Below are 18,927 nucleotides of genomic sequence, written 5' to 3' on the forward strand. Positions count from 1 at the left end.
TAGTGTTAGCTTTCCCTTTCGATGCTCTTTCAAAATAATCTTTTGAATAATATTTGAGTTTTATCAGATAGGACTGCAAGGGTGTTTTGAGAAGCCATTTTCTTATGATTAATTTCAATTTTTATATTTTCCCATTTACTAATGGAGCTCTAAATTCCTAGCGTCAGTAATGATATTTGTTTGGACATATGTAAGGATACATGGTTTAATTCCAAAACAGTTGCCCTTTTCCTCCTCAGGGCGCTACAATGTTTTGCGTAGGAAAATAGTGTATTATTTGAACACCAATCACAAATTCACTGGGCCTCATATTGGAGGGATGACAAAGAGGGAAGACAGGGTGATTTTCCAGGGAATAATTTCTAATTAATCTGTATCATCTTGTTTTATCAATGCTCTTGATTTTGGTATCACAGTTGACACTTTCATCTGCACATCAACTCAGTATTTATTTGTCTAATATGGATGTGTGTAAATATAATTTCACCCTCTAGCATAATATAACCAGATTAATTGATCATTCACTTATTTTTTTTAGTAAAAGAAAGCCTGTAAAACAAGTCACTATGAACCACATAAATAACAATATCACAACATCTCTGGTAAAATTGTACTAGGAAGGAATTCCTTTTCCTTAGTTTAAGGGTACGAAATGCACAAGAATCAAGAGATGTTCATAGAACTTCCTGGGTATAGATATTCTCCTGCCTTCTGCTTCTCCTATTTCTTCTTTTTCCCCCTTCTGTATTTCTGTAAAGCCTTCATGACCCTCCTTCTGAAGGCCATCACTATCCCCTCTTTCTAATGGGCTCTCTCACCTAAATTATGTCAGGTGTCTCCTGAATTGTTTCTCAAACTGTGCTCCAAGAGTAGGTATCAGTGAAGAGTTGCTGCACATAGTCGTAAAGGTCCTGAACAAACTTAAGAAGAATCGTCACATAGACTAAGAGGGAATTTGAGAATGTTATGGCTTTGCCATAATTTCGTGAGCTCTGCTCACAAAAAAAAAAAATGGCTTTATTGGTTGATAGTCTTGTGAAATGCTAATTGTCATAGTCCTTATTGGAGATTCATAAATCATATTAGTAAATTATAGGGCTTGGGAAAATTTATTTATGATTAGACTCTTCAGGTCCTTTAATTTGGTTATCTATTTAACCCAGGTTTTTTTTCCAAATATATTATTATTATTTTCTTAGATAACAGTTTTTATTATATCATGGAAAACACTTGGAAAATGCTGGCTTCAGATGGTAATAATACAAATATCAGAAATTGCTAAAAAGAAATCGAACAATTCTTTGGGGGGATGGTCACTATGCGCAAGTGCTTCATATAAACTGTAATTTAATTTTATTTCATAACCATAATTTGATTTTATTGTTATCCGCAGCCTAGATATAGGAAAACTGAATGTTAAATGTATTGCCTAGAGAGGCAAGTTTGTATACGAACCTGAGGAGGACTTAGATTATATTATAATTTTTTAAAGTTTGGTATATAATTTACTACTCAGAGTGAGGTCCATGGCCTATACTTGGGAGCTTGGCAAAATGTACTGAGTGGTAGGTTGTCATGTTTATGTCAGTATTATGTGGTCAAAGCTCCCTGGAAATGGCATCCTTCCCAATACACACTAAGGCTTCTTTAAGGGAAAGTCCTTTAGCCTCTATGCTTTTCCTTTTGCTTTTTTTCTCTCCATCCTACCTGGAAGATGTATTTGAAGTCTAATGGTTTGTGGCCACCTTGAAACCATAAGGCAATAATCAGGAAGAAAAAACGTCAAGACGCTAAATATTATGGAGAAAAATATAACAGGAACCTAGGATACCAACGTATTAAGACACTGTTTCTGTCTTGAGTTTTTGACCTATAGCATTCTTATAAGAAAAATAAATCCCTATTTCATTATTACCACTACTAAGTTTACATTGCTTTTAGCCAAATTGATTTCTCTGTGTTATGATCAAATCAAATGAAAAGTCTGACAAGTGGGAAAGAGCACATAGTTGTGTAGGTAAAACTAACCTAGTATTCCACTGTGGAATAGTCTGAAATGAAGTTTATGGGTGATGGGAGGCGAGGTGGAGCCAGATAATGAACAGCATTGAAATCCAGCCACAGGAATTTAACATCATAATCCTATTGCATATTTTAGTGCTGTCATAAATGAAATGAAGTAATCTACCCTAATGTTGATTTAAAATTTTTGTATTATAGAGATTTTCCACAATAAAATTTTATTGAGTGAAACTTTACAACAAACAGTATAATAACCATTCTTATTTGGATATGGCATCATTATTGATTCAAGTTAACTTGACAATAGTTCACAATGGTAGCCATTTTACCAAAATATACTAATACTTTCCCTTTGAAATTTAGAACAATTTGTTAAGTAGTGCTCCATTCATTGACTTATCATAGGAACTAAAGAATAGGAAAGAAAGAAAAGAAAACCTTTACTTGTGATATGAAACATACACATAGAGAATAGAACATGTGATTTTATCTTTCTCTATATACTGGCTTTTAGTCATATATGTAAGTGTTTTAATTCCAAGAAATATAAAGGAAGCAAGAGAAAAGTATCTGGTTGTGTGTCTTGACACATATTCAAAGAAACTGAGAAAGGTTATATTGGCTTAGTTGAATGAATAAAAATTGAATCAGCATCGATAACTTCTACCAAAAATATTTGTTTAACAAATACTATGTATCAGGCACTACTTTTAGTACTAGGGAGTACAAATTAAACAAAATGAAGATCTTGTTTTTAAAGAAGGTGCTTTATGTTGAAGTCAATCTGACTAAATAGAGATCTGGAGCTGATAATAATTATGAACAACATTAAAGGAGTAATGTGATATAGAGCAATGTTGTAGAATGGTGCCTTTTTTAAAGTAATAATTGACCAGTTATCTGAAAGAGGGGAGCAAGCTATCTCGACATTCTGGGAAAATATGAGAGAGGAACAGAAAAAAGTTAAGTACGGTTAGAATAGCATGAGAATGAAGAGAATTATGAGAGAGAAATTTAGAGAGTTAGCCAGGAGTGGAACCTGTACAGTCTTTAGACAAAGTGAAGGACTTAGATGGATCAAAGTGAAGATAAATTGTATAGTTTTAAAAGGACTTGTACAGTTGATTTGTATTTAAGGTGATCATGGTGACAACTGTATGTAGAATAGGGTATGTTGAGGGACATGAATAGAATTTGGAGATTAGTTATGATGAAAAAATACAGATGACTGAAGATGGTGGCTTAGACTAGAATGCTGAGGTTGTAAAAAAGAGTCAGATTCTGGAAAAGCTGATGGTAGTGTTGATGAATTTTATGTAGATACGGTAAGAAAAAAGATGTCAACAATAGATATTGCACTAGTTATTAAATAGCCAGTAGAGATGTTGAGTGGGCAATTTGGATCCATAAGTCTGGAGTACAAAGGCAAAGTAGGGATTAGAGAGATAAAACTAGGTATCCTCAGCATGGAACTGGCAGTGAGTGAAGATGGTGAAAACAACAGAGCTAAGGGTTGGTCCTTAGGACTTTCTAATATTTTGAAGTTTGTCAAATATATGGTTTGAGTCTTTGTCCTCAGAACTACAGAAATCCAATGTAAATTTTACAAGGGAAGGATATAAGATTAGATTTGCTTTTAAAAGATAGCTCCAGCTGTGGTGTGGAACTGTATTAAAGGGGATTAAAACCAAATGCAATGAAACACATAAGATATTTTCTGAAATTTAAGCTAGACAGATGATAGTTTTGATTGACAATTTGTAGCTAAGGAATGAATGAAAACAAATGGACTCAATTCATTTAATAATGTATACATAAATTGAAACATCATGTTGTACACCATAAACATATATAACTTTTGTCAATAAAGCTGGGAAACAATTTAAAAAAAAGAAAGCAAATGGATTCAAGAGATATTTCATAGTAAAACCAAAGAGAGCTTGTTCACAGATGGTAGTGCCATTGCAATGGAGGAGGGCTTAGGCTAAGTTGGAATAGTAGTTTAGTTTTCAATTTGTTGAATTCCTTGAACCTTATGGCATTTGAAATATATAAATATGTTGTTGTTTGTTCATGGAGGTGACTAAGTTTTAGCTCATTGCCTTATAATCATTTCCTGAGCTTTATATTAATGAACTGTCGATGGCACTACTTATAAAAAAGACTGCTAAACTTTTAAAATTTAACAGGCTAAAGTACATCTGTAGTAGATGCTGTTTGCTGCTGGTTCTCCTCATATCCTCTTACCAGGTAGAGAGTATTGGCTTTCTCTAGGTTACAGCTTTACCCTCCTCTAGAGAATTGCTCAGGCTTCATTCCTGGAGATGCCTGAAGAGGCCATACTCCCTCCTTTAATCCCCAGAGCATGTTATAGAGTCTCTTGCAGTATCAGGCTGAGGTCAGACTTTTGGGTTGAAAGGACATCTAACTATCTTTAGTGTTTTGTGCCACCCCGTCCTGCTTTCCTCTCTTCCTTACAGAGCACTTGGACAAGAATCCTCATATCAAGTTTCAGTTCTTAGAATCTAACGTAAGATACTTTCAATCATTATTTCCCTGAAAGAATTTAAGCATTTTCAAAGCCCTTTTTAATTAAAAATAAAAATGTCTTTCCAACAGAACTCTTGACTCAACTCTTGGCACAAGACAAGTTTGTCTTCCATGTAAGTTCATATTCTATGTTCTTAATTTCCCTAGGAAGTGTCCATGTTTTGTCTCATATATGTGTTATATAAAGCTGCTTCATCACTATGAAAAACAACAAATATAATGCTGACCTTTTAGGTACCCATCAGAAAAGACAACTATGATGTGATCACCAATCATGATGGTCAACTACTTTAGTTGACTTACTTTATTTGGGCACCTGTCACTTACCAGTCCTGCCATTTAAGTAAGTTTCAAAATCTGTCCTCTGGAATATTAATTAAAGAAGACATTGCTAGTTTAATACATGTTATAGGAAAAAAGTTAAATGACCTTTAGAATACAAATTTTACAAATATGACCAGCTTTTTTCGTGCAGAACTTCTCAAATGGACTAATATGAATTCTGAAAATTTAGAAAATCAGAAAACAAGTAATGACTCCCAACATTATGTAAATAAGGAACATTTTAATCATAGACTATCTTGATAACTTAGAACTCAAAGAAATAATGTTGAGAAACCATGCTAGAACTCACTTACTAGAGATCTCTAATCATCTATTTACTAACATCACCAGAAATTTATATATCCGTTCTAATGCCTTCATAGCTTTCCATGCCTTTGGGGTTTAAAATTAAATGCCATTTCTTCAGTGTTTATCAATAGTGATTTAAGTTATACCATTTAGGAACGCTTTTATTTCTACTGAAAATTCAGTTGAAAATGTCATCTATTACATTATTCACAGCTTATATCAAGACCCACACAGTAATTACTTCTCAGAATTGATATTAGAAAAACGTTTATGCTTGTAAGATGAGCTACTTTTTGACATTGCTATGAGTAAATGCAGTGCTAAGTGCAATGCTAAATTGTAGTTACAAGCTCATTTGGGTGTCTGATAACATCAGGGGATTTAGTTATTTTTGCTCTTTTAAAATATTTACTTGCTCTGTTTCATACACTGAGTAAGGTACTTCTCCACTTTAGAAACACAAAAAAATTGGTTTTCTTAATTAATTTGGAAAGGTGTGGTAATAAAGGGTTATAATCTTTAAATAAATATTGTATTAATATGTAAGCTAAACAATAAAATGGAACACAACAGATATCCTCTGGTTATTAGATTCTAGATGACATTTTATAAACAAAACTATTTTTTACTTTTTAGTCTGAGCAATAGGAAGAGCATTTTTATGGAGACCCAACTGTTTTCTAACTCCTTTACCTTTGAGGGGCAACAAATCTGAAATGAATTTGCGCTAGACAAATGGTTATTATGATGCAAAGTATGGTTTGCTATGACTGCAGGGACATGATTCATTGTGTTTCCCTATTTTGAATTCACAGGGGAATGTTGAACATCTCTGAATATAAACATGGAAAACTTCCATAACATCTGTTGCAAATTTCTGCCAGCTGAAAAGTGATAATGATCATGAATATTTTTGTTGATGATGCGGATACATTGGTCTAACTAAATTAACTTGCAGACTATGGGTATCTAATAGAAAACACATGAGTTGTAATATCACCTGTTTAGCTTTATGTTTAGTTACATTTTTAATTGTTTCAACATGTTGAATTTTTATGGCTTATACTTTTTAAAGTTAAAACATACTACAAATAAAAACTGTCAGAGTGTGTCATGCTGACAGTTGCATTCATTTATTCGTTCTCTACCATCTATTCAGAAAAGCAAAATTTTCCTGATATTTTTGCACAGTTAGGGCATGAAACAGTAGCCATTGATGACACAGAAAATATTAAGAGCTGCTCAATTAACACACCTTAAAATGCTGTCCTACAATTCCATATTTTATTAGAACCACATTAATATACCTTGAAAGTATGTCTGCGTAAGTCAACAATCTAATAAGGACTAAAATCAAAAGCTTTCAATATAAATTAAATATATTTAAATATGTAAATTTTATTGATAGGACCTCCTTAACACAATAAACTCATTGTTTGCATCCAGGTTGACAGTTGAAACTTTAGTCTTTGGAATTGACTGTAACAATCATGTAACATTTTAAAGTATAAACTGCACAAAAGAAGGGCTATCTTTTCATGCATCTTATTTGAGAAACCTGGCAAGAATTTTATAACTTTTTGAACGAGAATAATTTGGATGGTGATGTGTTTGCTTATAGGTTTTTTCAAATCGTTAGGACTGGAATATTAATCCCTGTTAAGGGTGCATTATGTACTTGCCTGGTGAAAGGCTTTGATTCAAAGTCCTTGTGATTTATAATTTAACCAAATATGCAACTGTTATTAAATATCAATTAACTGCATATTTGGATTTATTTTACAGTTTGGATAACAAATTGAGACAGACATTATTATCTACAATAAATGTTTTATGTCTAATTTTGCAAAAATAATATAAATGAAGAGGTATTTATGGCAGAGTGACAGATGGAAAATGACAAACTTTGAAAGGTGCTGATGCTGCTTTTTAACAAACTTTTTTTTCAAAGACTCCATTAAACCTCAGAATAAATTTCCTTAGCTAGTTATTGAAGTGGGAGCAGTAACAATTTTCCATGCCCCGATTTATTTTGAACACGAAACCTGTAGAGTTCTGTTTCACTACTCACCAATAGAGCATAAAATAATAAATTGCACACCTAAAGAAAGTCTTTATTTCAGTAATCTTTTAAAAAATATTTATTTAATCTGCGACCTGCTAGTGTGCAGGTCCCTAAATGATGACAGTGAGGCCACTTCTGAGTCATCTCACATTACTTCTCAGCGTATACTCTGCATTGATTGAGGAAACCTTTTGCACACTTCCAAATACAAATTGCTGGATCACACCTGGTTGAGTTTTCTCATGCTTCATTTCAACTCTTCAATAATCCTTTTCCTCAATGTTACGTTGTCAATATTTTCTTTCTAACATGCCCTGGAACTCAGTAATTTTCTTCAGTAGATATATATTTCTTAGCTTGACCATTTTCTTTTGATCACCCTCCCTCTGTCTCTCTAGTGCTTATGTTTCAGCCTATACTCGATTGTTTTATACTTATTCATAGACCAAGTAATATATCATCCCTAATCTTTTTATGTTTCAGGTGTTCAATTAAGGCTCCCTCAAAATATTATTTTTTACATTTCTTTGGAGGTCAGCCTGATTGAGGTTATATCTTGGGTCAAGAGCTTATCTGTTGTGAAAACTTACTTCTATGAGACTAAAAATTCTCATCTGTGATAGAAATTCTTATTACTACCTCTTGTTTTTTCTCTATTTCTTGACCATACATTTGCAAATAACTCCTATTCTGAAACCTCTTTGAATAGCATCAATTTGATTATGCCATTGGTTTTCTGCTGAAACCCTGATCTTTACCCCCTCCTATATAATTCACAGCATCAATACTCAAAGTGTGGTCAATGGACCTGTGTCTGCAAACTGCTCACCACTGTCTATGAAGAGAAAACTACCAAAAAGAAGAGCATTTGGAAACTTTCACAGCAGTTTGACCTTTAAGCATGCAATTCTTAACCTAGTAATTTCTTTTGATTGTATCAGTGCATGATAGTTAAGGAATTTTTTAAAAAATAACTAGAGGCCTGGCGTGGTGGCTCATGCCTGTAATCCCAGCACTTTGGGAGGGCAAGGCGAGTAATCACGAGGTCAGGAGATTGAGACCATCCTGGCTAACACGGTGAAACCCCATCTCTACTAAAAATACAAAAAAAAAAAAAAAATTAGCCAGGCGTGGTGGCAGGCACCTGCAGTCCCAGCTACTTGGGAAGCTGAGGCAGGAGAATTGTTTGTACCTGGGAGGCAGAGCTTGCAGTGAGCCGATATCGTGCCACTGCACTCCAGCCTGGGAAACAGAGAGAGACTCCATCTCAAAAAATAAAAAATAAAAAAATAAAAATAACTAGAAATGGTTCTTCTAAAGGTAGTTTGAGAGACTTGAACATTGTGATTCCACACTTCTTGAATTGACCAGTTGATTTTCCAACAAGTTTCCTTTCAGTGAGTTTACTCATCTCACCAGGAATAAGCCAGTCAAGATCACCAGTGTAATGAGTGCATCTTGAAGAAGTAAGCTCATACTACATCATGAACATTGATGAGCACATTTAACATAAGCAGGCTACTATGTATTACTGATGAAGCACAGAAGGACACTGAAACCAGGATGTGGTCATTTATGCATCACTTTTGAAGAAATAAGAGAAACAGAGAAAATAGAGATGCAATAAACAGAAATCCAAGGTGATTAAATAGTCATTTTACAATTGCGTTTTGCAATTTTTTCCACATCTTTCCATAGTTACTCATTTAAAAATACCATACTTTCATTCAATAAACATTTATTAAGTCATCGATATATGCTAAGACATGGTGATATAGTAGACAATAGACAATATAAAATTAATATACTTAATTACTTTTTAAAAGACTGAGCAAAAATGAATGATAAACGGAATAACAAGTGTTTATTTTGGAATACAGAGAGAAAAAGAAAAAAGGGAAGTAGGGGAAAGAGAAAACTAGTACTCTGGCAGAAAAATTATGAAAAGAAAGACATTTATCTTTGCCAATATTCTAATAATAGGAAATCTATCAAATCTATCAAAATCTCTAAAATATCTAAATGACATTTTTAACCCTCACCAGAATTTCCCCCATTTAATATTTGGTTATAGAAAAAAGATGAAATGATAAAGAAACAACTACAAACACACCTGTGGACATGTTTGTACATTTCTGTATTTTTCTGTGTGGTGTGCAGCAAAGAGGGAATTGCTGGGTTACAATTTTTTGTGTGTGTTTGTCTTTAACATACACCACTAGCAATGTATGAGTTCTACTTATTACATACCCTTAAACCTTGAGTTTTCTCTTTTCTTATAGTTAATCTAATGAGAGTTGTAGAGGTATATCATTAAAGTTTTAGTTTTTCCCTGGTGATTAATAATGGTAAATGATTTTCATATCTTACAGGCTGTAGGCATATTTAAGGTGGTTAAGTGTCTTCTCAAGATTTTGTCCATTTTTACCACATTATCTTATTAAATTGTAACATGTTTTGATGTATTCTGGATAGATTTCACTGTCTAACATTAATGTTACACATGACATCTCCTGGACTTCGGCTTGCATTTTCACTCAGTTAATTTCATCTTTTACTAGAAATGTTTTGAATTTGGATTAAAACTACTTTATTGGCATTTCTTTATAGTTGCTACATTTTATACTACTTAAGTAGTCATTGCTTTCCCTAAGGTTGTAAATATATTTTCTTATATTTTTACCTGAAAACGTTATTGTTTTATGTTTTACCTATAGCCCACAATCCCTCTTGCATTAGTTATGTGAGGTTTGAGGTAGGTAGATAACTTGAATTGTATTGATATTTATTCTGATATTAACTTGTTTGCACTACAAATTTATTTTAAGTGTGATCAATTGGTCTAGGTGAGTGCCTTCTTTCAATGTTTTTACTCAATTATCTTATGAATCTTGATTGTCTGCATGTTGTTTTAAAGTGTTGATTATAAATTACATGTCAGTTTAGTCTACAGTGGAGTAAAATAGCAGTAATGTATGCTACATGATTTAAGTCTCAGTTTCTTAGTGATTGTCATCTCAGGGTGGTTGTTACCTACTTAGCAGCTATTGAAGACATTTTCCTGATTCTGCTATTCCAATTTCCACACTAACTGCTTAACCTGTGGGTTAATGACATTTTTACTTATTGCTTAGTACAAATCCAGGAGAGGGAGAGGTCAACCAGTTTGTTTTTCCAAATGGGCCCTGTGCCACTTTTTGTATGAGTTGGGCTAGCTTGCTTAAGTGCTAAGGAGTTTATAATGAATGTATTTTACCCTTACTGCATTTGTGCCATTATAGCTTCCATTTTAAAATTATCTGATTATCTGAACCTATTTCCTTTCTATCTTTCTGGATTTTTTTTTGTTTTTAATGATGCTGTTTTGTGTTTCCCTGTGATGCTTTAAATTCATTTGGCCTTTTTACATTTATTTTGTTATTTCATAGAATCTTAGGTGAAAGCATGTCATAGTTGCTTGGTCTCTACTTAAGCCGATGTTTTGTTATTTTTCATTCTGGCATATTTGTGACCCTTATTTGAATATATATATATACACACACACACACACACACACACACATTTGTATATACAACATACATATGCACACATATATACACACAGTGCACACATATACTTACCTGAATATATATGTACACATATACTGTATATATGTATGTGGGTATACATTTATGAACATATATACACTTGTACACAGGCATATATATTGGTATAAAGAAATGTGTTTACACTTACACTTTAGAGAACCAAGTATCATAGATAATTCATTTTGTGGACAAAATTTTTCAAATAAAATGTAGTGTAAATAAAGTACTTAATTTTGTACTCTCCAAGTGATTTTTTTTTTTGAGACAAGAGTCTCACTCTGTTGCCCAGGCTGGAGTGCAGTGGCCCGATCTCGGCTCATCACAACCTCCGCCTTCTGGGTTTAAACAATTCTCCTGCCTCAGCCTCCCAAGTAGCTGGGACTACAGGCACACACCACCATGCCTGGCTAATTTTTGTACTTTTAGTAGAGATGGGGTTTCACTATGTTGGCCCGGCTGGTCTTGAACTCCTGACCTTGTGATCTGCCTGCCTCAGCCTCCCAAAGTGCTGGGATTACAGGTGTGAGCCACCACACCCGGCCTCCAAGTGTTTTAAAATATTAATACCTGACTCAGTGAATGTTTGACATTTTTATCACTAATTGAGTGTGCCAATTCTTAAATAAGCACTAACTGAAACTGAATTTATAGTCATTAAAAAAGTGAAGAGTAGCACACTGGCAAATCTATATATGCCCATTCTGTAATTCTTAGCTTTTTCTAATAATTGACATGGTTGGTGTAAGCATATTATTAATGAGAACAATGTTAGCTTAGATAGAATTAATCTATAATACATGATGTGTGTCACAAGTGTAGGTTGCCTCCATATCTTTTGCTAATTATTTTGAAAAATTGTGTGGGAAAGACTAGAAGTGACGAGGATAGCTGAAGCTAATTCATTAGCATTTGTTATAATCATGCAAAGCACTCTCAGGAGGTCAACAGTATCATCCTTCACCTAACCAGTTCTTTTCAGGACAGTTCAACCAAAGGAACAGCTACACTTAAAAAAATTCTGTTTTCAAATACCATAATTCAAAGTAATGATGTGCCGCATGTTAAAATAATCACAATTTATGTCTAGTGATGTACAACTAGGAGTCAGCAGATACATTATTTTAAATTTCTAGTTTGTTATTAGTCCAATTTTTAGGGAAGCAACTTATTGAATGCTGAATATACAAGCAGTTTTGTTAACAATTTCAATTTAAATGAGCATTAATGAATAAAATCTTGCCTTCTTTTCTTATTTACCACCTATCGAAGTTTTTATAATTTGATGAACTTTTTTTTTTTTTTTTTTTTTTCTGAGACAGAGTTTTACGCTTGTTGCCTAGGCTGGAGTGCAGTGGCGCGATCTTGGCTCACTGCAATCTCTGCCACCTGGGTTCAAGTGATTCTCCTACCTGAGCCTCCCGAGTAGCTGGGATTACAGGCACCCACCACCACTCCTGGCTAATTTTTTGTATTTTTGGTAGAGACGAGGTTTCACCATGTTGGCCAGGCTGGTCTCGAACTCCTGACCTCAGGTGATCCACCCGCCTGGGCCTCCCAAAGTGCTGGGATTACAGGCATGAGCCACCGTGCCCTGCCAATTTGATGAACTTCTAAATTGACTATATAGAACACAATATTATCATTGAACTATATTTGCATATTAATATCTAATGACTTACTATATTTGGGGAAATAAGTAAGTAGCCTTGGAGGCAGTGTTCTAATGTGATAAGTGCAATATGGTGATGTTTTCTAAAATACAAGCTTAAACATATTTCTTTACACCTATATATGCCTGTGTGTAAGTGTATATATGTGCATAAGTGCCTACACATGTATATACATATACCTGATATATACATGTATATGTGTGTATATAAACATATATATGTATATTCAAATAAGGAATGTAAATATGCCAGAATATTTTAAAATTAGTATGTAATACTTTATCTTTTTAGTATACTATATTTTTATTATATAAGAGACAGTCTAAATGAGAAGTATACCTAATGAAAAGGTATAGACTACAGTTCACACGGGAATTACATAAATTCCAGAGCACTTGATAAATTAATTACCAGATCAAGTCAGTTAAATTCCATAGCAGCATCATAAGGAAAGTCTGTAACTGGGATATGGACAGCAGCAAAACCAAATGCATTGAATTAAGGCACCAACTTACATAATCAATGGAATAATATTCCAGTATTTTAATAAAATAAAATAATTAGAGATATTGAAATGATTTTTTAAAATATTCATGTAGCAGAGACTGGCTAGAAATTAGTGAAATTACTTTCTGTTATAGGGAACACCAATAAATGAAATGTCTCATCCTGCTTGCCATATTCCTTATTTTTTTCCAATGCAAAGTTGACGAAAGTGATGTATCATTACCTGGCCAAGGCAGTTAAAAAGCTCTTACTTATTCTATTTCTCCCTTCTCCGTTGCTTCCTGCCTGGAGGCAAGAGGTCCACAGAGTCATTTCAGATCTCAGGTACTGGTGGAGCCACTAAACTTAGATTCCATTTTACTAGATTACAGACCACTAAGAATTTAGACTCATTATGTCACCAGATGAACTATTTTAACTAATGCAATTTGTGTTCTTTCTTTTATATAAGCATCAATTCATTTGAAACACCTCCAATTAATTTTTGTTTAGTCTCTGTCCTCAGAAGAGAAATTCATAAAATTTATTTATATCTTACCAGTATTTGAAATGTTCTGCTACCACTGGCTTCTTGCAATACTTCTATCTTCTGAATTCCATACTAACAGATACCTTAACCTCTTCACCTACATTATAGGCTGCTTCCTCTCAGATGTCTTTGCTGGTATCTCATTCTTCTTTAAATGTTAGAGTACCCTAAAGGTGAGTCTTCAGCCTTCCTCATGGTCATTAGTTGTGCCCTGAATGATTACTTTCAGGCCCGTGGCTTTGATCTACATCTCAAATCCTCAATATCCGCCTGAGTTCTAAGCTATGCACCCAAGCCTTAACATCTCCCTTTGGTCAATATATTGTATTCTTGAAAAATGCTGAGACTGGATGGTAAGTGATCTTACTACACAAATGATAACTATGTGAGGTGATGCATTTGCTAATTGAGTTAGATTTAACTACTTTACAATGTAAACATACTTCAAGACATCACGTTGTACATGATAAATACACACAATTTTATACATCAATTTAAGAAATTGATTCATTTAAAAAAAAGAGATATTATATGCTTAACATGCCCCAACTGCAGTTCTTTATTTCTCCCCGAAAACGGTTTCTTTTCCTGGTCTTCTCTACTTCAGTTTATGGCATTAACAGTCATCAAGTTATAAAGTTCAAAACCCAATGTTTGATTTCTTTCTTTTTTTAATATCACACTTCTGATTTGGATCTTCCTCCAAAATGTATCCTATCATGTCCCAGCATCTACACAGCTGCCTAAGATAATGTCATAGCTTCTCTGGATTTAAGAATACTAAGCAGGAAAGTGACATGATCTAATCCATAATTTTAAAAGGCAAAGATCATCTAACATATCTTTTGTTTTTGTTCTTGACTTTCTTAGACAATATCAAGAGTGACCTTGATAATGCAGAAATCAGATTGTATAACTGCCTTACTTAAAAGATGCCCAGGTGATTCTGTTTTTATAAAGTCTAAATTTATAACACACCATTTATCTTTATCTCATAACAGTATATGGATTGATACAAAGCAGTGAAAGATTATCATAACAATTCAATGAAAGAGTTGTTTTCACATGCTTTTGGAAATCCAGAACAATAGCTTCATAGTCTATCAACTAGATGAAATTTGACAAAAAAGAAATTGGGATTAAATGATGATCCTTCTAATAGTTCTGCTGTCTAAATTTGTGTAGTTAGGAAATTGCACATGTATATGTGAAATGATTTTTAAAAAGTCATGTATATAATAACATATATAATGTATAAATTAAATTTATACACATTATATATATGTTATATATATTATTATTACTTTTGGAGACAAGGTCTCACTTTGCTGCCCAAGCTGAAATGCAGTGGCATGATCATACCTCGCTGCAACCTCAAGCAATCCTCCTGCCTCAGCCTCACTAGTATCTAGGACTACAGGTGTGCACCATGACACTATATAATTACAATTATTTTTTTAATAGAGACAAGGTCTCACTATGTTTCCCAGGCTAGTCATGAACTCCTGGCCTCAAGCAATCCTCCTACTTTGGCCTCTCAAAGCACTGGGATTACAGGTGTGAGCCACTGCGCCTGGCCCCATAAGTATTTTTTTTTTAATTCACACTGATGTAGATTTTTTACTTGCATCTTATTCTTATTTCATCATGTTATGTAATAATTTTATCATTCCTCCCTGGAATACAGCAATTTTCTTCTGCAGGGGATCCCTGCTTCTACTCTTGCCTTGTAATCCTTTTTCTGCACAGCAGCCAGAGTGACCTTTTGAAAGTATAAATCAGACCATGTCACTTCCCTGCCTAGAACTCTAAAAAGGCTTTCCACTGCCCTTGAGGAAAAACAAAAAACAAAACAAAACAAATAAAACATCCATACTATAGATGAAAGACACTACTACACGACTTGATTTGATTTCTGGTTACTTTTCTGACCTTTTCTCCTATCTCTCCCTCTTGCTCTTGTTCAATAAGCTTCATCCATACTGTTTTCCTCTTTGTTCCTGGGAGGTGCAAGGATCTTTACTGATTATGTTTGATGAGGCTATTCTCTCTGCTTGGAAAACAATTCCCCCTATCTCAACATATCTAACCCATTCTCTTCATTCTTGTTTCAGTTCAGATAGTATCCTTAAGTGAAGCTTTTCCTTAGCAATAAGTGCAAAACAATCCTCGAACCCAACAGCCTCCAACATATCACCTATAGTAATTGTCAGAATTTGAAAGCACTGTGTTTACATTTATTTGCTTGTTCACTTTATCTTTTAGGATGAAATTCGCCAGGATTTAAGCTCTTATTCATTGTGGTGTCTCCTAGCTACTGATAGAAGCTCCCACACATAGTAATCAGTCAATACATGTATGTTGCTGATTGCATGATTATGTAATCATGTTTAACTGTAGCCTTGATTAAAATCTCCGTGGTGGCAAAAGATGTACTTGACTCATCTTATTCTAACATATGACATTCCACAGAGTTCTCTAGAAAGAACACACATGTAGTCAAGATGTTGTTATAACACACACAGGTCAGTAGTAAGAAAAAAAAATCCACACCAAGGGCTCAATTGAAATGAATTCATTTATTCATACTCGTTGGGTGTTAGATTGTAATATTCCCTTATTATTTATAACCAGGTTATATTGTTCTTGAAATAAATATAATGAGCAAATTCCTGAAAGTTCTTATCCAAATAGAGAGTTGTTTTGTCTACAACAAAATATTTCTCAACCAGGCAACATATTAGAATAATCTGTAGAATTTAAAAATAATACCAATGTTCAGACTCAACCCTAACACAATGGCATCCAAATATTTGGTGTATGAGCATTGATAATTTTAAAAAATCTCTTTAAGCAATTTGAAAATAACCAGAATTGAGAACCACTGATTCTAGTTGGATGTGATTATTTTTTCTTTTCTCATGGATCAGTGTATGTTAATGATTGCATTTTCTCTAAGTGTTCAAGGAAAATGCTTCAATATTATTTTCGTTGGTAAGAGCTCTACTTCTACATATTTACTCACATGTGAACAATTTTTTTCTTCTCTTTCTCAATAGAATTATTCTAATAATGCAACCTGGATTACCCCAACATATTTAAAATATTATAAGGCCTATAATATTTTAGGTTTAAATATTTAAGTCTTTATTATAATATCTTATTGTCAGGAGTTCTGCATTTCATGAAAATAGCAAGTTTAATATCTGCATTAATAAAATCACAGGCATATCTGCAATCATTTTAAGAAAACTGATCTGTCAAGTCTGAAAAAACTTAATTACTTCAATGATTCATTAAAGATGGACTGTATGAATGCCCCACATATAAATAAGTGAAATGATAGAAATATGAATAAATGTATCAAATATAAATATAATAAAATATAAATACATCCTTTATAGTACGTTTAAGCCATGATTGTGCATCAGATAGCATCTGTGCATCTTACTTAAAATTTGGATGCCTAGGGTTTACCACCAAACTGTGAAGTCAGCACTGTTAGAGATGGGCCTATATATATTTATTATTTTTAATTGTCTACTATGGAGAGTTTTGAATATACTTAAAAGCAGAAAGACTGCAAAATGCACCTTCATATGCCCATCACCCATTCCCAAACACCACCAGCGTCACCCACAACCTTTTTACTCTCTGCTTCTTGGAGTATTTTGAGCAATTCCTGACATCATATTGTTTACTCCAGAAATATTTTTGTATGCATCTCTAAAAGATAGAATCTTTAACATGACCACAATACTACCATGATACCTAAAACAAATATGATTATTTCCTTAATATAATCAGACATCTTATAAATGTGAAAATTTCAAATGATCTCCCTTTGTTTATTTGTGTAAATTATAGTCGAAGTCTGAGTTTTTAATTTTCTTGTTATGTATACATTTCTTTCTATTTCTATTTTTTCCCGGTCACTTTATTTGTTGAGAAAACCACAATGATCGTTCTGCAGAATTTCTACTAGTTGGATTTTTCTGGTTTCACTTTTGTGGGGTCAGATAATATGTTCTTATGTTCATATATAGGATAACATAGGAGGTGCTGTGTTCTTTAATCAGGAGGAATAACACTGGAGGAATGACTGGTTAATGGTTCCCTTTTTATAATATTAACATGTTGACAATGAATTTCCTAGGCAAATATATTCAGAAAAATGTCAAGATTGATTCTAATGTATCCCTCTAGTTAAGAAATATCATAAAGAAGATGATAGAATTCCTTAAGTCCTGAATGTGTTTCTACCAACAAAAAGAAGATATCAGTTAAATATATTTCATGTTGGGTATACCACTGGTCATTAAAATAAAAGATAAATTTTCTATGGATGACCAAACAGTAGAGTAAGAAATTTTGTTTCATATTGCATACCTAAAATTTTATTTCAGTTCAAATTCCATAACATTTGAGTCATTATATGCATAACTTTTACTAAAATGAAGAATATAAGTCAATATTTTCCAAACTGGCCTGATCATTAGAAAGATACATACATGCCTTGACAAAAAAATAAAGATTACTGAGATCTGCTAGAATAAGACTTAATCGGAATCTCTAGGGAAAGGGCTTGGGAATCTCTATGTGGAGAAATTATCTCAGATGACTTTTACAAAAAGGTAAAAATAGACAACATTGGCATACATTTAAAAAGAAAACTTCTGTAATCCCAGCACTTTGGGAGGCCGAGGTGGGCGGATCACTTGAGGCCAGAGGTTTGAGACTAGCCTGGCCAACAAGGTGAAACCCTGTCTCTACTAAAAATACAAAAATTAACCGGGCATGGTGGCACAGGCCTGTAGTCCCATGTACTCAGGAGGGTGAGGCAGGAGAATCACTTGAATTCAGTGGGTGGAGGTTGCAGTGAGCCGATACCATGTCACTGCACTCCAGCTTGGGGGACAGAGGAAAACTTTGTCTCAAAAAAATAAAATAAAAATAAAAATAAAACCCCCAGAGTTTCTTCGTTAATGACCAAGAAAATGACTCTGTACTTTGAGGTTTACAATGGTCTTTCCCATTCCTATGTCATTACAGAATTATTTTTAAAAATATGTCAAGTAGGAAATAATTATTCAAATCATTTTTACAGGAGGGAAACATGTTTATGGTGATAAATTGACTCCATCAGTGGAGGTACTCAGACTCAAATCCAATTCATCTGGATACAAATTTATTACTTTTTAACTATAGCATGCTTTCCTATATTTATTTTGCTCTAGCTGATAATACTGATCCTTCTGACATCCAATTCTATAATACATATACTTTCATAATTATATGTATAACTAATGAAAATGTTGTAGGTATTATTAGCAATTAGGATGATTTTCATGATGGAGACGTGCT

General features: G+C 33.5%; 1 long non-coding RNA gene across 1 annotated transcript in view, besides 1 other annotated feature; it reads left to right on the top strand.

The window, feature by feature from the left end:
- Window positions 1-18,927, top strand: part of LOC105378336 (uncharacterized) — an 88,286-nt gene that overhangs the window by 25,861 nt on the left and 43,498 nt on the right. The window lies entirely within an intron of this gene.
- Window positions 660-829: an enhancer, noted in NCBI's record as "experimental_14285 CRE fragment used in MPRA reporter constructs". NCBI's record gives its function as "activates a minimal promoter by MPRAs in K562 erythroleukemia cells, with activity observed for both the introgressed and non-introgressed 10:66601316 variant alleles {active_cell/tissue: K562}" and the evidence as "EXISTENCE:reporter gene assay evidence [ECO:0000049][PMID:34662402]".

Source organism: Homo sapiens, chromosome 10 (assembly GCF_000001405.40).
Source record: "Homo sapiens chromosome 10, GRCh38.p14 Primary Assembly".
Classification (NCBI taxonomy): domain Eukaryota; kingdom Metazoa; phylum Chordata; class Mammalia; order Primates; family Hominidae; genus Homo; species Homo sapiens.